The following is a 19020-nucleotide window of genomic DNA, read 5'->3' as shown; positions in this document are numbered from 1 at the left end:
CCCGAGACATTTCTACAGAACAGGCAGAAAGGGAAGTCCTGGGAGATCAGGGCCCTGTCTCAGCAGGCATCACTCCAGCCTGTCTTTTCCCGAGTGGTTTTCTGCACTTCTCTTCCATCTTTTCCCCTCTGTCCCACACTGGAAGTCACTAGTCTGTGCCCTCCTTACCTCCCATGGTTTCTGCACCTTCATTTCCAAAGGCAAGTGAAAACAGTGCCAGGCTGCGCACATGGGTTACTCCAGGGACTTCTCTTCCCGTTTCCCCTAAAGCATTTGACAGTTAGATCTTGGAACTGAGTCCAGCAGCACTGAGGTCAGAGAGATGGCTAAAGCTAAAAGCAAACTGGATGCTGTTCAGGAGGTTCTCCTTTGTCATTTTTATCTCCAAATAGAAGACCTCTGTTTTCCCAGAAGATTAAATAGTAGAAAAGAAGTAGCCCAAGGTGGGTGACTCTGCAAACAGGTGGGTGAGGTCTCTAGTTGAGTGAGGGGGTGTCTGTGGGTTGTGGGTTCTTCTTATGAGCAGAGCTTGGAGGAATTTGTTCTATTTGTTGTGGTTTTCCCAGGGGGAAGTCGGGGGTGGCTGGGACTCTAATGATCATTATCAGAAGACTTTGGATTAGGCCTCTGAAACTTTAAGATGTGGATCCTCTCGCAATCATGTTAAAATGCAGATCTCCTTTCAATAGGTCTGGGACAGAGCCTGGCTTTTCTATAAAGCTTCTGGTGATGGGATGTCGCTGGTTCTCAGCCACAATTTGAGTAGCAAGAGGTTAGCTTTTCTACTTACTGCCTTCATATCCCCAGTTGGGCTATGTCGTTTTATCAAAACAATGTGGTAAGAGTGAGCGCCAATTACTAGCCTGTTGAATCATCCATTGTTAGAGCTGTTTCTTTGAGGTACATTTAAGAGGCCCCTCCCTGTGGTTCCCCATTGCACAAGAAGCCCATTTGCCAGGCAATACCTTGGGCAAGCAAGCCACTGTGCAAAATTGCATTGGCTCTTCCTGCTGCCAGCCAGGCGGCTGCTGGTTGACGTTGGAGTTGTACAGTTTATGTGATAGTGATGACAGCGCTGGCTCTGAAGGGTACTGAAGATTTTGAAGGGGTACTTCGCTGCAGCAGCTTCACCTCTCACTTTTGTTTACCCACCCCCGAGGCTTGTGGGAGAGAAGGATCAGGCAGAGCTCTGCACGTGCCATGCCAGGGGTGGAGGAATTATATTTTTATTTTTTGCTTTCTCTGCTACAGGACATACCATGCCTTTTACAGATATTTATAGGACAATTTCCCTCCTGAGAGTGCCCAAGCATGGGGGATGGTGAGGAAGATGACTGAAGGAGAAAGCAGGAAAAGGGGGTGTCTGCATGTATGAGGATTGGAAGGTGGGGAAAACCCTTCGTGTTTGGTTCAGCCTTCAAGAAAGAGGAGGGGTTGACTAGATTACAGATGTTAAACCAGGGGTCTGTGGTTCAAACCAGCAACTCTCTGCCCTTGTAAGCTGTATCTGGCTGGTGTGTTAATTTGTCTAGGGTAAGAGCCCCTAGGTTTCAACAGATTGTCCTAGAGTCAATGATACACAAAAGGTTAATCAGCCTCATTTCCAATCAGGATCATCTGCAAGTCCCTCCCAGAGCAGATATTTGGAGCACTAGGCTTCTAGAAGCAGCAGACATCAAGTTCGGGCCATGGGATTAGGGTGGACAGGGCAGCCACTTGGAATCATTTTCTACCAGAGGCAGAAGAGGCTCAGCTAGCAACAGCCCCATTTTACAGAGCAGAAGCCGAGCTGCAGTCAATTCAGTGATTCCTCCTAAAGTAGGGAGTCAGAAGCCGAGCCTGGACTGGAACCTCGGCCTCCTAGCACACAGAGCACAGGTCTACATTGGGGAAAAGCCCCTTCAATCTGGCAGTTGCCTGGAAAGCGCAAGACATTTGCGGCCAGAGCGCCAGGAGCCCAGCTGGTTATTTCTAGCTTCCTGAATGTCAAAAATACAGGCCGCTTCTCAAAGCAGCCTCCACTTGTCAGACCAAATCAAGGCATCAGCGCGTCAAGCAGGCGAATCCTCTGCCCCAGGCACCAGCCTGGGGGCGCACGCCCTGCCTCCGCCCCGCCCCACACGGCGCACCTGACCGGTTCCCGCGGTGCGCCTAACCGCGGGCGGGCGAGCGCTGCACCCACGCACCCGGGCGTCGCTCCCACCTGCACCCCGGCGTCACGCCTGAGCGCAATCTGCAGCCTTCACCCACCTGGGCGGCTGCCTGGCTTTGTTTAGAGTTGGAGTCAGCCCGGCAGCCTGCCTTGGCCGAGTGTGACTAGGGAGCTGGTCTCTGACCCTAGCGGCAGATTGGGCAGGACACACTGCCTTCTCTCTGGTCTCTTTTGGAATCTCCCACTTTCACCTGCTTTTCTTCTTAGCAAAACTGCCACCCCTGCCCCTACCCCAATTCCTCGATAGATCTAAATCAACGGGCTTGTTTGTGCCTCTGCAGAACCAATCCAGTTTTACAGGAACAAAAACAAACCCCAGTCCTGAGCGTCTGTTGGTTTCCCGTCCCAACTTCTGTTCATTCAACAAACATGGGAGCATCTACTGGCTAGGCTTTGGACACAACAGACTGAACTCTACCCCAGGGAACTGGCAGCCCCCAGGGGAAAAGAGAAGCGGATGTTTTTAGGCTGTAATTTAACGGTCGCAGGAGAGTTTGCTAGGGAACATGGGGGCAGGGAATGAGCATTGCAGGCAGAGAGGACAGGCTGGTGAAAGAACACCGCAGGCGGTAGGATCTGCAGGAAGGCAGGGTGGCCGGTGGGCACAGAGAGATGAGGGCAAGTAGCAGTGATGGGCTGAGGAGGAGCCAGGACTCAGCCAGAGAAAGGAGAATTGACTTCATCCTGAGAACAATGCAGGGCCTTGGAAGGTTTAAACAGGGAAGTGACCAATCCAATTTGCTTTCTTAGTGGGACTGGAGAGCGCAAGGCCTGTCAGTCCCAGCACAGGGGCAGCAAGCGGCAGCACCGCTGAAAGTAGCAGCATTTTCAAGGACAGGGGTCATGTTCTCCCACTTGGGGATCAAATTACCTAAGTTTTCTTCTATTTCCACCCCCACGCTGCTGCCTTATTCCTATCCCTGGCCCCACTGTGACTGGTTTGGCCTTCTGCCTCCATTGGCCCTTGCCTAGCCTTTAGGTAAAATGCTAGGTTGACCAGGTGTCCAGAAAAAAAAAAGAATGGATAAAGAAAATATGGTGTGTGTGTGTGTGTGTGTGTGTGTGTGTGTGTGTGTGTATTTAACGATGGAATACAACTCAGCCATAAAAAAGACTAAAATCTTATCATGTGCAGCAACGTGGGTAGAATGGAGAGACATTATGTTGAAGGAAATAACCAGGAAGGCAAAGTTAAACACTGTATGTTCTTCTATGTGAAAGCTAAAAAAAACAGTTGATCTCATAGAAGTAAACAGTAGAACAGAGGACACTGGAGGCTGGGAGGGATGAATAGGGAGAGATTTGTTAAAGTAAACACAATTATAGCTAGATAGGAAGAATAAGCTGTACTGTTCTATACCACTGTGGGATGATTATAGTTAACAATATATAATTTCAAATAGCTAGAACAAGGATATTGAATTTTCCAACACAAAGAAATGATAAATGTTTGAGATAATGGATATGCCAATTACCCTGATTTATTGTACACAATACATATCAAAACATCACTGTGTACCCCCATGAGTGTGTACAATTATTATTTGTCAATTTAAAAATTATTTTAAAAGATGCTAGGTTGACTGTACTCCCAATCCATCACCCTATTTTCAACCATCCATTTGTTCATTGACTCAATAACAATTTCTAAAGTGTTGCTGTGTGCCAGGTGCTGAGTTAGTCATTGTGGGATACAGAATGGGAGATTCATCTGTTTCCTGATCTCAAAGAGCTTAGAATTTATCCAATGTCCAAACTTGCCAGTGCATCAGAATCATCTATAAAGATTTAGAAAAATATAGCCAATTGATCTTCACCCCAGACTGACTGAATCAGAATGTTTCAGGGTAAGTTCCAGGAAGCCATATTATTAAAATTCTCCTCCAGGTAATTTTGTTGAGCAGTCAGAATCTCTGATCCCTAGAGGAATGCTGAAGTGGAATTTCTCTAGTGACCTTTCCTCTACATAGTTGAACAGACTCAGAGTCTGGCTCCTGACCATAAGACAGAGAAATCACCAGAGAAGACAGGGCAACCGCAGTCCAACTGAGCTGTAAGCCTGGGACCTGCTCACTCACCTTCAAGAAAGCAGGAGGGGCAGGAGGGATGGGTAAATGTAAGGAAAGAGAAGAATGTACTGGGATGGCGGGGTGGGTTGTACATGCCTAGAGTGGAAGATGCCTCTCTATCTAAATTTTATAAATTGTCCATTTAGAAAGCAGAAGACCAGCTCTCTGGCTTGTTGAAACAAACACTCCTTCTTTCTCAGCCACATCTTGATTACTATGGTCAAGTAGGGATGATTGTGCTGGCCAATTTCAAATGGTAGCCCTGATGAATTATAACAAATAATCTCCACGTGCTTTATACACATGCCCATGTCCCCACCAATTAAGTCTGAGTACTAGGGCAAATTGAAGCAAAGGGTGGTGGGGGGTGATCCTGTTAGCTTGCTGTCCTCAGAAATAGCCTCTCCAAGGTACTCTAAAAAGCAGCGGTTCTGTTGGATCATGCCTGGAAAACAGGTCTCCTTGGAGTTTGAGGGGATTAAAATTTTAGTTCCAGTTAACTTTCTGTCTCTTGGTGAAGACTGTTCCCAGAAATCTAATTGTGAAGTATTTATTTGTTGACAGCTAATGATGAGTCAGCTACTGTGATGCCTTAAACATGAATATGTTTCCAATCTTCCTGGAAAGATGAGATACAGTTATACGTAAAAGTGAATAAACACAAGACTTATTTCCAGACAACACTAGAAGAGATGGTTTTGTGGGTATCTGAAGTTCTATATCCTGAAAGCTTATCTGAGCAGTATGTATTTGAGAGCAAAATACTCTGGGTGCCATATAGACATGTAAGGCATCATCTTTGTCCTCAGGAAGCTTACAATCTGATAGAAAAGACAGGACATATAAGTATATAATATAAAGAAAACAGTATAGGCTAGGCCAGGCGCAGTGGCTCCTGCCTGTAATCCAGCACTTTGGGAGGTTGAGGTGGTGGATCACTTGAGGTTAGGAGTTCAAGACCAGCCTGGCCAACATGGCAAAACCCTGTCTCTACCAAAATACAAAAATTAGCCAGATGTGGTGGCATGTGCCTGTAGTCCCAGCTACTCAGGAGGCTAAGGTGGGAGAATCTCTTGAACCCAGGAGGCAGAGGTTGCAGTGAGCCAAGATCATGCCACTCCAACCACCCTGGGTGACAGGGTAAGACCCTGTCAAAAAAAAAAAAAAAAAAATAGCATAGGCTGGGATAAGTGAGTGATTCAGTGTTAGCTTTAGTGTCAATAGAACTTGCACTGAAATATTCAACTTTTTTCCCACAGCCCTGGACAACTTTCAGGAAGACAGTTCTGGTCTGTAGCAATTAACACATGGTCATCCTCAGAAAAAGGGTAAGGAGGATGCCACTTGACCTAACAGAATCTTATACATGCCAATAATGTGAAGGCTTGATGGGTGTTTGTACTTAGTCCTCTCAATTATTTCCCAGAGATACCCATAACTTAAAATGCAGGAACCAAGAGATTTGAGCCTAGACATTTGGATGAAAAGCGATTTCCACCTGGAGAAAGTCACTGCCCTTCTGTGCAGAGGTAGGTGCCCTGATACTTGCCTGACAGCTGGAAAGCGTGGCTCAGAAGAGGTAGGTGGGAGAAGAGGCCACATAGTATCTCCCTGGGCCTCCTGGTGAAAAACTTGTGTGTGATTTTTCAGGCCTGACCACAAACTTGGGGAAAGCTGACCCCTACCCCAGACTTGGGGCACAGCCCATGCGTGGCAGTCTCTGGAGGGAGCTCTCAAGGTCTCAGGTCTCTCTGGCTGGTCGTAGTCATCACATATTTGCATTCCTAGCCCCTGAGCCTTCATTCCTGGGTTTATCAGAAGCCTTGGGGAGAGGTGTTCTTTAGGCGCCTCTGCTGAGGCCTTCTTTGGGTGGGGCAGGGAAGGGAGAGAAATCTTGAAGCCGCTTTTCCCCACAATGACTCAGAATCTAGTACTTCCACTCCTAGCCTTCCCCCTCCCTTGCTCTCGGCCCCAGAGTCCATAAAACTTCCAGAGCCTTTTGTTCAGGGCTCTGTCAGCAGTGAGACCACCCCAACCCGACATTCCTGCTGATCTACTTGACCCTGGGCCCCTGTGTGTTCCATGGGGGAAATGGAACAGGGAGAGTCCACGCTTTCTCTGGTTTCAGATACTTGCTTATACCATTGCAGGACATGACTGAAAGCTTGACTCTTTTGTTTTGGGCTTGTTGCCTTAATTGACTATTGTGACACCTGGCAGCTCAGCGCTCCCTCTCCCAGTTCAACTGAGCTCCTGACAGAGGGACTCCACCTTCAACTTGCCAGGGACAGGCACTCAAAGGACGGGCTTCATTTCTGTTGAAGGCTCTGGCTTCTCCTAATATGTTTCTAATTCATTTCTAGATTCAGATCTCTCTCTACCTCTCCATATCACACATTCACAAACAATAACTGCCTGAGGACCAGGAGAAGCACAGGGCCTGCCTCGTTATTCCTCCCCTGCATGCTGACTCTTCCACTGGGGCTGGGCAGAGTCAGCACATGCAGGAGGGGAATCATGAGCCAGGCCCTGGCCAGATCCAGATTTCTAGACATGAGAACTACCCAAACCCCAGAGACCCAGTTCTTCCATCTACTTTACTGAGGAGGAACCAGAGAGTCTGAAAAGTAAGTGACTTGGCCAAGGTCACCCAACTGGAACCCAGGGCCTAACCTTTGGGTTCAAACTCTGATCATGACCAGACTGCCTCCTTGAATCTTCTTTCTACTTTCCCGGTACAGTTTCTGTGCAGAGCTGAGTCCTTGGGTGCCCAGGACTACACTAAGCCCTCTCAAGTCAGTACTTTCTAGGAGGCTGTAGCCTAACTGGAGAGAGAGGTGAGACCAGGGGTTCTCAGACTTGAGCAGATGTTAGAATCAGCTGGTGGGCTAGTTAAAACACAGATCTGCTGGCCCCACCCCAGGTTGCTGATTCAGTAGGCCTGGGATGGGGTCTGAGAATTTGTACTTCTAACAAGTTTCCAAGTATGGCTGATAAGAACCACTGGACTTAACCATAAACAACCAAAAGTAACAGAGGCAGTGAATGGAAACCGAGCAAAGGCAGGTAGAGAAAGGAGAGAAATGAGGGTGACATTGTTTCTAAGGGCAGGAAATGAACTCCAGGGGCTGGTCCTTGGGAGGTCCTTCTCTTCCCTCTACCTTCATCTACCCTGACTTCGGGTGTATCTAGAAGTTTCACAGTAGCATATAAATTCCCCCTCTCTGCTGGAGGGCTCTGGCCAACAGGTGAAGCCAAAACCATCACCTGTAGGAGGTTACTTAGAGCTGGCTCCTGTCCCAACACCCTCCTCTCGGCTTCCCCGTTCACATCGCTGCAGCCGGCACAGCTGCCTGCCTCCCATGGAGCCTGGGGGCACCTGTCCTAAAGGCTCAAGGATGAAGAGTCGCGGAGGGTGGTTGTGGCCATCTCACCCACCTCTCCCTTGATTCCTCCATGTACTCACACAAGCCCTGGAAGGCCAAGGACACTGACACTCAGAAAGCTAAGGGAGTGGGTACATTACAAAAGGATTGGGAGAGGGGGAGTGGTAAAAACTCCACAGCTCACATTCATTGACTCAGCTCATCTTTCAAGGCCCCAGTTCTCCTGAGTCATCAGTGAGCATGGCCTTGCTTTCATAGTCACTAAGGCTGAATGTGGGTCATTGAGATCTAAACTGGTGTTTAAATGTAACCGCACAGAGGTGAGTCAGACACACACAAGGAGAAAAAGAGCAAAAGAGAGAGAGAAGAAAGAAGGAGACTTAGCTCTCTCTTAAGTGGGGGTGAAAATCCAGGAGCGAATCTGAAATGATCCACCTCTCCAAATCCGTCCACTGTTTAATTGGCTCCATGTAGCTATAGGGAAATTGAGGCATAACTGCTGTGTCCACTAGCCCAAAGCTGTTCCAGGGACAGCAGCAACCTCAGGAGGAGGCCAGAGATTGGCCAATGGAAAGGCAGAAAGCAGGGACTCTCCACCCAGGTGGAGGCACCACAGGGCCCGTGGAGGGAATGGACAGCTGGCATTACGGTCCCCCTACCTTTTCCCAAGACTCTTCCAGCTGACCTACTAAGGCTGCCCCTTGACCTTGAGTACAAATGGCACTCATGCCCAAACAGCCGCTTGACCAGAGCCAACCGACAACCTCCTGTGAGTTTCTCAGCCCCAGGCTGGATCTGCAGGTAAGAGACAGACATTATGTTGAGGCAAATGTAACCCATGCCAAGCAGTGTGTAGAGATTTCTACCTAGCTTTATTGTTGTGAACTCCAGACAAGAGACTTAGAAACCATGTATGATTTTCTACATCAAAAGCCTGAGTCTGAGGCTTAGGGGTCTCTCATCCCTTTTCCAACTCCCTTTGTGTGTTGCGGGGTGGGGGGTGGGGCGGAATGGAGAGTCTGCCATGGAGTCCCCACCTCTGTCCCTTCCAGAAGAGCCTGTATATGGCTAGTGGGCATTTCCCTCCCTGGAGAGGAGGTGGGGGAGGCCCTTCATGTGCTTCCTGGAGCCACAAGGAAAGAGGAGGCTGCTGATTCACCAGCAGCTGCTTCCTGGAATGGCAGTTCCGGGCTGGCAGGCAAACAGTATTTTTCCAAGGTGATCTAGGGCTGTTACAACATTCCCGCTCTGCCCCCATCAGACCTTCCTGTAAGTCAAACCAGAAAGTTACCCAGACCACGCATTCCTGAGCAGTCAAGCACAAGATTCCAGACACAGTGTTTCCAACATGTCTCGCTATCTCTCCTGGGACCTGGGATCCAGTCATCCCCACAGCCCCTGTGCTTCCTCAGCCAAGGCCATGCATTTGTCGCACTGGCCATGGAGTCACATGGAAGCCACTGTGTGGCTCCAAGTCAGCTGGGAGGGGAAGGCCTGCCCTGATTCCCCTAATGGTCTGCTGAGAAAGAGCAGAGCCCTGAGCTAGCTTTGTCCCTGCGTTTCACAAAGCCACTTTCTCTGGTCCTGCCCAGCTTTCTGAGACAGAAAGCTACCATGTCCCAGACTGAATCAGTCTCACTTTTTTTTTTTTTTTCCCCAGAAATAAGGCACAGGTTTGGAAGTGCCTCTGTTTGACCCTGGTGTTTGGTTCTCTCCCTCACATACAGGGAACATGAAGGAGAACCCACCTCTGCTGCTTTTGAAGTGCAGTGGCTTTCACTTGGAATGGACATCTTTACGGGTGGCACTGGGGGCTGTGCAGAGAGGACCAGGGAGAAATTCCAGACTTCTCAGGTTCTGCCTCTGAGACAGACAGTGGTGGGAAACACAAACAATAAAAATCCTTGGTTCCACTTTCCTCATCCCTTCCGGGCAAATGGAATCAAATGAGGGTGAGGGTGGCTGGGGAATAAAGCAGGGTGAGTGAAGAGATGGGGGACTGCTCTTAGAAGCAGTGTCTGAACTCCACCCCCTCCAGGATGAACTGGAAAGTGCTTCTTCTCCTCCCTCCCTTGACTGATGGCTATGGGAACTTTAGATGGGGAAATACGGATATACTGATCTCTCAACCAAATGTAATTTGTATTAAGAATTAAGAGTTCACAAGTTATTCTCTGTCTCTCTCTCTTTTTTTTTTTTTAAAGAAACAGCCTTGCCCTGTCACCCAGGCTGGAGTGCTGTGGTGCTATCATAGCTCACTGCAGCCTCAAAATCCTGGGCTTAAGTGATTCTCCCACCTCAGCCTCCTGAGCAGCTAGTACTACAGGCACACACTACCATAACTGACCAATTTTTCTGTTTTCTGAAGAGATGAGGTTTCGCTCTGTTGACTAGACTGATGTCAAATTCTTGGCCTAACGTGATTTTCTCCCTGGGCCTCCCAAAGTGCTGAGATTAGGAGTGTGAGCCAATGCACCCAGCCAACTTATCCTTTTTTATCTTCATCACAATCTTATGAGGTGGGTATCGTTATTAGTATTGTCATTTAATAGAGGAAGAGAACAAGGATTGGGAGCGTTTAACAGCCGGCCCAGGATGAATGCGTCAAGTTTCAAATCCATGTCTCCTGATTCCAAGTCCATATTTCTCACAGTCCACGTTATATACTCAGCAGACGCTGTTGACAGGCTCTCTGAATCCAGGAGGCAGCTCTGAGCCTCAGGAAGTAAGTTGCTAGAATCCCAGTTAGGGTCCTAATATTCTAAGAGATACAGACCTAACAGAGAAGTGTGCTGTGCCTGTGGCTTTGTGGCAGGGTTTGTCTACAATAAATAAACACATGTTGTGTTCACAGGGCTTAACTCAGTGCTGTAACAGGAGCTTCAGAACTGACAGGGCAAACAGTCCTCTTCAGTTAAGTATCACTGGCCATGTCTTACCCTCTCAGATAAGTTGCAAATGCTTTTTTAACTCTCTCCCTCCCACCTACTATTATAGAACCATTTCTCAAAGCTTAATTCAAGACTTTATTTCTGTTTTCCAATAGTTATACACCTTATCTCTAAGAATAACCATTTTTAATGCCTTTGATTTTTCCCACTGAGCTCTTTGCCCCACGATTGTCCAGTAGCTGGGAATGGAGAGTGAGTCTGCACTTTTGATTACCTGATAAACAGCGATCCTTCCTCCTCCCCGATCCCACACTCCCGGAACCCTGACTTGGTTCTCTATCCTTGTCCTTCAGGAGAGAATGAACCTCTCTCCAGCCCCCGGGGGCTAAGGTTTTGTCCGAGACTTAGACTCTCAGCCATTGGTTCGGTATTCTGACTGCGCATTGGAACCATCTAGGGGGCGTTAAAAATCCCACTAACGCCAACAGGGGCTCCAGGGCTCCCTCAGGAGCTGTGGCTTGGCTGTCATTTTTCCCTTGCCAAGTGATTGGTGTTAGGGATGGTCATGTGACGCTAAACTGGCCAATGGGGTACGAGGATGCGAGGCTGCGAAGCTTCTGGGAATGTTTTCCACAGCTAAAAGCAAAAAAGCTGCAATTCAGGGGTGTTTTGTTTTTCTCCCTGGAAGTTGTTCTCTATGTGCCCCAAAGGAAGGAGCTTAATTTAGTTAGCAATCTGTGGACATTATCGCATTTGATCCTCACACTACCCTTTGAGGTAGTTAATATTTTGGTTTTAGTTATTAATTTACAGACAAGGAAACTAAGGTTTCTTAATTTTACAGACAAGGAAACTAAGGTTCACGGAAGTTTCAGTATCTCCACACCCCCTTCAATGACAACAGCTGAGCAGAGTCAGGGTGACCCTGGTCCTGCCTGGTTCCAAAGACCATGATTTTCTCACTATTTCCCTATTTGCAAGGTTGTGCTGGAAAGCTGTCTAAATAATAAAACTAATAAAAGTCCTGGCCGGATGCAGTGGCTCATGCCTGTAATCCCAGCACTTTGGGAGGCCCAGGTAAGAAGGATCGCTTGAGGCTAAGAGAGTTCAAGACCAGCCTGAGTTGACAGCAATAGCTTATCTCTACAAAAGCAAAAAAAAAAAAAAAAAAAAAAAAAAAAAATTAGCTGGGCATGGTGCAGGAGCCTGTAGTTCCAGCTACTCAGGAGGCTGAGGTGGGAGGATCACTTGAGTCCAGGAAATCCAGGCCTTTGAGGCTACATTGAGCTAGGCTCACACCACTGCACTCCAGCCTGGGCAACAGAGTGAGATCCAGTCTCAAAAAAAAAAAAAAAAAAAAAAGGCCTGACTTTTAACACTTACCAATGTCCATGGTGTAAATATTCCCACAATAACCAATTTTAAGCTACCACTGTGAGCTCTCCGAGCACTAACTTGAAAGAGATGTGCACAATCAGCTCTCATGAGCCAGTGTGATCCAACTCCAGCCAACCATTGGAAAAGGGGGCACGTGCTCAAACCCGGTCTTTGATGCTAAAAACATGTTTTCCTTCATCCCCCTACCGGGGCTTTCTCTGAACACACACCTCCCCAGAGCAGATCTTTACACTGGCATTCAGCACTGTTAGGAAAGGTGCTCAGCTCTAGTTCCTAGAGGGCAGAATAAGGATAATGAGGGACAAATCAGTAGGGGTGAACTTCAGAGGTTTCCTAATGCCTCCAGGTTGCTAATGATGCAAGCATGAGCCCCAAAGGACTACTTATCATTCTGCATAAGAGTGGGCCGAGAGAGCCCTTGCCGTTCGTTTGATCTCATTGCCATCTGAGCTGCTATGCCTTTTGTACACCCTGCTGAGCCCCCAGAAATGCTATGCACAGATTCATGACTGTGTGGTACAGTGAAAGCAGCAGGGGCCTGGCATGTGGCCAGTGGAAACATGATGGTAAGCCAACTCAGGCCTGCCCCAGTGGGCCCCCTAGGGCAAACGCCACAATAATAGTGTGCTTGCTAAGCCCATTCCACACTGTGGTACGCCAGCCTCTCAGGGTTGGGAGAGCCCTCCGGTCCAGGTCCATCATCCCCAACGAGGGTTGTAGACTGAAGATGTCCAGTGATCTTCCCTCCAAAGGAAGTCTATTACATATTTAGGGACCTTGGTGGAAAAGTTCATTTTTATGCTATGCCATAACACATTCTATGACTCCTGCTACAGCCTGAGGTGCTCCTAGTTCTAACCCTGGGAGCCATATGTTGTCAGACTGGTCCCTCCACACATGGCACGCCTATCAGTCAGGATAGGCTAGGTTATGCTGCAGGGACAAACACCGATCGTAATCTCAGCGCCATGAAACAGCAGTAATAAAAACCATAACAGCAACTAGTATTTCTTGCTCATTCAAAATGTCCATTGAGGGTAAGCTAGGGGTCCTATTCATGTTAATCACTCAGGGACCCAGGCTGTCAGAGCCCAGCCACCACCTCTCATCATTGCCGTTCACTGGAAGAAAAAGAGTGTCTCACCAGCACTGAAATGTTCTGGCTTGCAAGTAGTATATACCATTCTGCTCTGGACTTGTTGGCTAGAATTATTCATACGACCTCACCTGTCTGTGCTCAGGAGGCAGGGAGCTAGAAATAGTTGGGAAGCAAAAATAATAACCATCACATTAGCTTTTCACATATTTGAAGGTGGTTATGCTGTCCACTTGCCTTTGCTCCAGAGGCTCACCCGTTACCTCCTCACTTGCTGAGCTCCATGTTTCTGCTCCCTTCATCACTCAGTTCACTCTCCTCTGAACATGATCCAGGTTTGTATCTCTCTGTGGTGGTATCTAGAGCTGAGTTCAGTTTTCTAGGCACAGCCTAACCACGGCAAAGCTCAGTGGAGCTCATCCTTCCCCACATCTGAGGCATCACACTCATAACCCTGGAGGCTAAGATTGCATTTTATATTTTTTTGGCAGCCACAGCACCCTGTTGTATATTCACTAGATTCTAAGCTCCAGAATGGTAGAGACTATGACTTCCTTGCTCATTGTTCTGGCCCTATCACTTGGAAAAGGTTCTGATAAATCCAAATATTTGTCAGATGAATAAATATATTGAATGTATTCTCTTTGCCTCTGCCTAATTTTTACTCATGCTGTCAAGACCTATTGCCTCCATCTCATCCTGATATAATGAGCTTTTTCAGACCCAAGTACAGTTTATTTCTTCCATTTGTTCTGGCATACAGCTATGAAAGAGTGTTATCTTTGGAGTCAAAAAGTGTGTGTCTGACACCCAGCTCTGATTTTATCATTCAACACCATATATGTCTTAAGCACCTACAATATGCCAGGTGCCATGGATACAGTTATGAAGACAGACCGACCACAGGGCTGCCTTACCATTGGGTTAATTTGGGTAAACAATATAACATGTCTTGATTAGAATGTAAATTCCACGAAGGCAGGGATCTTTGGTGTCTTTTTCACTCTAGTTTTTCCAGCAACCACAATATGCCTGAAATATAATAGATGCTCAATAAATATTAGTTTAGTGAATGTCTGACTCTCTAAACTCATGTGCTTTTCTATATCACAGTCTTCTGGGAGGGCATGAATAGCTTGAAAACAAAGTAGCCCTTTGTCCCACTGTTTAATTTTTGTGTTTAGTCATAATGTTGACGGTATGAAATCTCAAATAGGATTAAGACTTGAAATTTGTCTGTTAATCCAAGGGGAGCAGGGGTTACGCAAGGTGGCAGAACCACTATTCCAGACTGACACTAACCTATTAATCCCCACATTTTCAGTACCATTGTGTCTTGAATCCAGCTTGGCCATAAGGAAATGGGGCGAGACTTTGTCATGTATGTCGCTGAAGTTCAGCTATGCAAAAATGTTCACCTATCCTTGATCAACCAGTCCAGGAACCATCAAAGAAGAAAATGAGATTCGACTTAGAAGACCTGTTCTTTATAAACCCCTGCACAGCCCTAATGATCAACACCACTTCCAGTGCTCATAAATTACTGCTTCAATAATTGTTCTGCAATTCTGCCTATTCTCATTGAATGCTTCGTATAATCCCTTTATTTACTTTGGGCTACGATTCATTTTTATCAGTGAGTATTGTACTTGTTTCATCTCAAAAATCATTCTCCTTGAGAAAAAAAAAAAGAACAGAGTTGAGGAATCCTGCTTTCTCTTTCATCCACAAATGCTCTATTGTCAGAAGGGGGCTTATATTTCTTGTGAACTTCTTGTGCTGATTTTAACTTTGTAAAGTTTTCCTGTTTTCCACGTATGAATGAGCATGAGAACTATGAAAGGCAATCAGGTATAAGATATTGTCAAGTATGTGACTTGAGGGACAAGTGATCTATGTGAGCCTGAAGGGAATCCTGGGATTGAGAGAGCATGCAGAGAAGGCACATAGGTGTGCTAGGGCATGCAGGTTGTACAGAGATGGACAGGGAGAAAATTCGAGTGACAGAGGTTTTCTATATGGTGGGAGTAGTGTGGGTTGGCGTCTATCAGGGGAGACCAACTGACCATATCCCTCTGTTCACTTTTAGCCATGAGTACAAGGCTACAAGAACTCGAGAGGTCATCTAAGTTATTTCTGGCTCTTTCAGGTCAAATGACTACTAGACTATCCTGGTTTCTAATTTGAAATGTATCCAAAGAAGATTCCTGTCTCACCCTCTGCAATCCACTTGCATGTCTGACCACACTCGGTGCCTACACAATCTTCACTTTGTCTAGCCTAAATTCTTCTAACTGTGGCCTAAGGCCTTGGAAGAATGATGCCTCTGTGGGGTAAGAACTGCCTTCGTGGCATAAGAAAGGCAGACCTGGGTGATCTGGAAGGGCTGTTGCAAGGGGATAGGAGTGCTGAGGCCTTTTCCATTAAGAATACACAGGACTATGGAGACTCTTGTTTTACTAGAAACTTCTTCACAGATACCTTAAATTAGGAAGAAAATGCCTTTGGTTCTTGGTTCTACTATTGGCTTCAAATTCTTAGGCATGCCAGACCCTACTGAACATCTTGACACATGTCCTTTCTTCTCTGAACTGGCGCACAGGCATGGTGAGTAACTGGGGGTGCCCGGCAGGTACTGATGCTGGGTGTGGTCCCTGTGTTATTCAGTCAGAAGTGAATAAAATGTACCTTTGTGTTAGATCTGGAAGGACAAAATAATTCCTGAGACTGGTAAGAAAAGCCATTTGGGAAAATTGTGGATATTTCTTGGCCTCAAAGGAGAGCAGCAGAATATCAAACTTAAGGCTGAACCTGTATGTCAGTTGGGGCAGGATGGACTCAAAACATCCTAGGAAAAGAATAAGGTCTCCTGAGGAGGTTCTGCAGCCAGTTAGAAAAGTGAAATCCCTCCAAATTGGAGTGGCATGGCATCGGCATCCAAAGGGATGGGCATCATGGAGAGCACGAGTGTCCCTCTCTGTCCATTTTCAGATGGACATCACAAGCAACCTTCCCTTAGCCCTCTGTGGGAGAGCTGACGATAATAATAGCCAACATCGATTGAGCATTTCTGTGTCCCAGCCCTGTGGCAAACGCTTGACAATGTATCACAGTTAATCCCTGCAGTATTAACAGAAGGCAGGCAGGCGCTATGCTCACTCCCATTTCACAAATGAGAAAGTTGAAATTGGAGAAAGAACTAGCTTTTCTCAAGAACATTCAGTAAGTGTGGATTCAGCCCCCAGGGCTGCCCACTACTCTTACCAGCCAGGGCTCTTACCCATGTGACATCTTGCCCCCTAGACTGCACGGGCAGCATAGGGTAGGGTGGCTCACCTAGGCACTCAGTGCTGCTGACACAGGGTGATGCCAAAGACGCAGAAACACATGGGAAAGGTGACTGCCATTTCTGGGCTCTAAAAGAGCCTATAAAATAAATATGCAAATCAAAATTTTATGCCATCTTGATGGTTGGAAAACTGGCTATATAACAGTTTGGCTCTAAGAATCAAGTGGTGCAGGGAGAGAGAGTGCAGAACCGACGTACTCGGTAGGGGAGTAAAGAGCCAGGAAGCAGGAGGAGGGAAAGAACAGTTGGCAGGGCAGTGGAGGTGAAGAGGTGGGGACGGGATAAAGCCCAGGGTAGCTCCCTTAGCTTTGGTTACAATTCAACAAAGGAACAAAAGGAGACTACAAAGCTCCCTTTACAGCTGCACTCTGGCCAGCTTTGGCCAACTTGCAACTCAATTCAGAGGAACATCTCAGCAAAGGGCTCATTTTCATCACAAACATCTACTACAGTTGTACTGGAGTCTTATCCTTGGATGATGTAAAATGAGAAGTTACAGGGCCCAGTGTGACCCTGAGCCGGGGGCAATCACTGTGGGCTGTCTAGTCATTTTAAGTCAACATTGCTAGATTAAGCAACCAGGATGACCAAACCTGGGAATAATGAACAGCTTTATCATGTTGGCATGTGAAATGGTCAAATCCGTGGCTGGAATATTTTCAAGGCAATGTGTACCCAATTAAGATCCGGGGTGTGGTGGCTCATGCCTGTAATTCCAGCACTTTGGGAGGCCGAGGCGGGCAGATCATCTGAGGTCAGGATTCAATTAAGATCAATAAATGACAAATGGGATGCTTTTATTTTTGCTTTGCTTTTTTTTGTTTTGTTTTGAGACAGGGTCTCCCTCTGTCGCCCAGGCTGGAGTGCAGTGGCGTGATCTCAGCTCATTGCAGCCTCCACCTCCAGGGTTGAAACTATTCTCCTGCCTCAGCCTCCTGAGTAGCTGGGATTACAGGCGCCCACCACCACGCCCGGCTAACTTTTGTAATTTTTTAGTAGAGACGGGGTTTCACCATGTTGGCCAGGCTGGTCTTGAGCTCCTGATCTCAAGTTATCCACCTACCTCGGCCTCCCAAAGTACTGAGATTACAGGCGTGAGCCACCGTGCCTGGTCTATTTTTGCTCTTTTCTTTGCTAACATGTTACACCAGCTCAGCTTCATAGCTGTAAACATGCAGCTGCCAAGGTAGGTTCCAGGCTGCGCACCTTCTTCCTGACGCTGCTGCATGAGCTGGCGGGGTGGGTGATGAAGAGTTACTAAAACATGAAGTGGCTCCTCTACGAGGGGAGAAAGGGCTGGAAACTCCACCAAGGCTCAGAAGTTACCCCAGGGGTTCAGATGGGGCTCACGGGATTCAGAGAGAACCAGACTACTTCCTCTTCCCCTATTCAGGGAGGTTGAAGTCCTGATTGCATCACCCTGGCCTGCCCCAGTTCCAAGAACTGGGGTTAGCAGCTCCAGCCCCTTGATATGCAAATCATGCAGTCCCACTGCTGATAAATTGTTCTACCCAGGGGAGGGCTAATACTGTCCTGCCCAGCTGGCAGTTTATCTTGGTGCTTCCTGCCAACCCCACAAAGGTGGAAAAATAGAATTCGCTTTCATAGAAGAACCTCACTGAACTGAGCTAAAAGTAGGGACTCTGGAGTTAAACTGCTTGATCCAAATCCTAACCCCACTGCTTTAGTTGTGTGAATTTAGACAAGTGACTTAATCTCTTGTACTTCACTTTCCCCCATCTGTACAATGAAACTGAGAGTACCCACCTCATGGGGGGTATTGAATAAGTAAATACACTTAAAGTATTTAGAACAGGGCTTCACATGTAATAAACATGCAACATGTTAGCCATTAAGTGAAAGCAACTTTGGCAGTCAAAGGCTGACCCACATCCCAAAGCAAAGGCTTGAAGTTATTGTCCTTTCAAACACTCAAGGCCATGTGTCTAATTCAGTTAGGTCACCGTGGAATAGCTTGGGAGAGCAGGAGCAAATGGGTGTGGGATGAGGACTGGCTGGGAAGGACAGTGGGATGATAAGGCCTGACGATGTCTTAAGATGGACCTGAGGGAGTGAAAGGTCCCAATGTGACCTCGTCTTGACCTCCATGCTGCCCACTGTGCTGAGGGAACCCAGCAGCCCCAGTGGACTCTGGCCCAGTTGCCTGAATGGCTCGCTACCTGCTCTGTGCCAGCCTTCTTCAGGAAGTGTGGGCAAGACAGCCTTGTGATCCCTTGGAAGGGGATGCCAGGTCTAGCAGAACTGAAGAAAGATGTGAAGTAGAATTGTAACCAGGAATTGAAGACTCATTTGAGCTTTAGGTAAATATCCTGTGTATCTTCTCTCTTCTCAGATATAAACATTAGCTATTGAATAACCTGATAGGCATGGAATAAATAGCCTCAAAAGAATGGACTCAACCCAAACTGGGGAACCCAGGTAGTGGGCTTGAGAAGCAATTGTGAAGAAGGAAGCTGCTGAGTGATCACAGACTTACCAAAGACAGTGTTTTGGCTCTGCGTGGCTATGATAATGAGTTTTGTGAATGAAACAGGAGGCATGCTTTATTTTTCGTGGTTGTTTACCAGAGTGGAGTGAACCATAACAAAAAGTTAATCA

The 19020-nt window shown here is 47.1% G+C and overlaps 2 long non-coding RNA genes across 3 annotated transcripts in view, besides 10 other annotated features; one reads left to right on the top strand and one right to left on the bottom strand.

The window, feature by feature from the left end:
• Window positions 1-389, bottom strand: part of LINC03033 (long intergenic non-protein coding RNA 3033) — an 84174-nt gene extending 83785 nt beyond the window's left edge. The window contains exon 1 of the long non-coding RNA NR_039985.1: window positions 169-389. This is a non-coding gene — a long non-coding RNA (long intergenic non-protein coding RNA 3033). The remainder of the gene's footprint in view (window positions 1-168) is intronic.
• LINC01303 (long intergenic non-protein coding RNA 1303) lies at window positions 276-14657 on the top strand. 2 transcript variants are annotated; one of them, NR_110416.1, is made up of 5 exons: window positions 276-443; window positions 1252-1385; window positions 5541-5609; window positions 5688-10186; window positions 14377-14657. It is a non-coding gene; the product is annotated as a long intergenic non-protein coding RNA 1303 (long non-coding RNA). The 2 variants fall into 2 exon arrangements; NR_110417.1 differs by lacking the exons at window positions 276-443; window positions 1252-1385 and adding an exon at window positions 735-772 and having other exon boundaries at window positions 5688-5810.
• Window positions 1099-1291: a silencer, noted in NCBI's record as "fragment chr14:62036356-62036548 (GRCh37/hg19 assembly coordinates)". NCBI's record gives its function as "represses an EF-1alpha promoter that drives an FKBP-Casp9 reporter gene in an ReSE screen in phorbol 12-myristate 13-acetate-treated (for megakaryocytic differentiation) K562 erythroleukemia cells {active_cell/tissue: K562(+PMA)}" and the evidence as "EXISTENCE:reporter gene assay evidence [ECO:0000049][PMID:32094911]".
• Window positions 1683-2182: an enhancer, noted in NCBI's record as "H3K4me1 hESC enhancer chr14:62035465-62035964 (GRCh37/hg19 assembly coordinates)". NCBI's record gives its function as "activates a minimal SCP1, AML or CMV promoter by ChIP-STARR-seq in primed H9 embryonic stem cells {active_cell/tissue: H9 hESC(primed)}" and the evidence as "EXISTENCE:reporter gene assay evidence [ECO:0000049][PMID:30033119]".
• Window positions 1683-2191: a biological region, named in NCBI's record as "H3K4me1 hESC enhancer GRCh37_chr14:62035465-62035964".
• Window positions 2032-2191: a silencer, noted in NCBI's record as "silent region_5822". NCBI's record gives its function as "represses an Ori minimal core promoter by ATAC-STARR-seq in GM12878 lymphoblastoid cells {active_cell/tissue: GM12878}" and the evidence as "EXISTENCE:reporter gene assay evidence [ECO:0000049][PMID:35858748]".
• Window positions 2183-2684: an enhancer, noted in NCBI's record as "H3K4me1 hESC enhancer chr14:62034963-62035464 (GRCh37/hg19 assembly coordinates)". NCBI's record gives its function as "activates a minimal SCP1, AML or CMV promoter by ChIP-STARR-seq in primed H9 embryonic stem cells {active_cell/tissue: H9 hESC(primed)}" and the evidence as "EXISTENCE:reporter gene assay evidence [ECO:0000049][PMID:30033119]".
• Window positions 2272-2341: a silencer, noted in NCBI's record as "silent region_5821". NCBI's record gives its function as "represses an Ori minimal core promoter by ATAC-STARR-seq in GM12878 lymphoblastoid cells {active_cell/tissue: GM12878}" and the evidence as "EXISTENCE:reporter gene assay evidence [ECO:0000049][PMID:35858748]".
• Window positions 8143-9342: an enhancer, noted in NCBI's record as "BRD4-independent group 4 enhancer chr14:62028305-62029504 (GRCh37/hg19 assembly coordinates)". NCBI's record gives its function as "activates an origin of replication core promoter dependent on BRD2, P300/CBP, MED14 and CDK7 cofactors, and independent of BRD4, by STARR-seq in HCT116 cells {active_cell/tissue: HCT116}" and the evidence as "EXISTENCE:reporter gene assay evidence [ECO:0000049][PMID:35650434]".
• Window positions 18000-18509: an enhancer, noted in NCBI's record as "H3K27ac hESC enhancer chr14:62019138-62019647 (GRCh37/hg19 assembly coordinates)". NCBI's record gives its function as "activates a minimal SCP1, AML or CMV promoter by ChIP-STARR-seq in naive H9 embryonic stem cells {active_cell/tissue: H9 hESC(naive)}" and the evidence as "EXISTENCE:reporter gene assay evidence [ECO:0000049][PMID:30033119]".
• Window positions 18056-18105: an enhancer, noted in NCBI's record as "active region_8497". NCBI's record gives its function as "activates an Ori minimal core promoter by ATAC-STARR-seq in GM12878 lymphoblastoid cells {active_cell/tissue: GM12878}" and the evidence as "EXISTENCE:reporter gene assay evidence [ECO:0000049][PMID:35858748]".
• Window positions 18510-19020: an enhancer, noted in NCBI's record as "H3K27ac hESC enhancer chr14:62018627-62019137 (GRCh37/hg19 assembly coordinates)". NCBI's record gives its function as "activates a minimal SCP1, AML or CMV promoter by ChIP-STARR-seq in naive H9 embryonic stem cells {active_cell/tissue: H9 hESC(naive)}" and the evidence as "EXISTENCE:reporter gene assay evidence [ECO:0000049][PMID:30033119]".

Source organism: Homo sapiens, chromosome 14, assembly GCF_000001405.40.
Source record: "Homo sapiens chromosome 14, GRCh38.p14 Primary Assembly".
Classification (NCBI taxonomy): Eukaryota; Metazoa; Chordata; class Mammalia; order Primates; family Hominidae; genus Homo; species Homo sapiens.
This window is presented reverse-complemented; position numbering and strand designations above follow the sequence as displayed.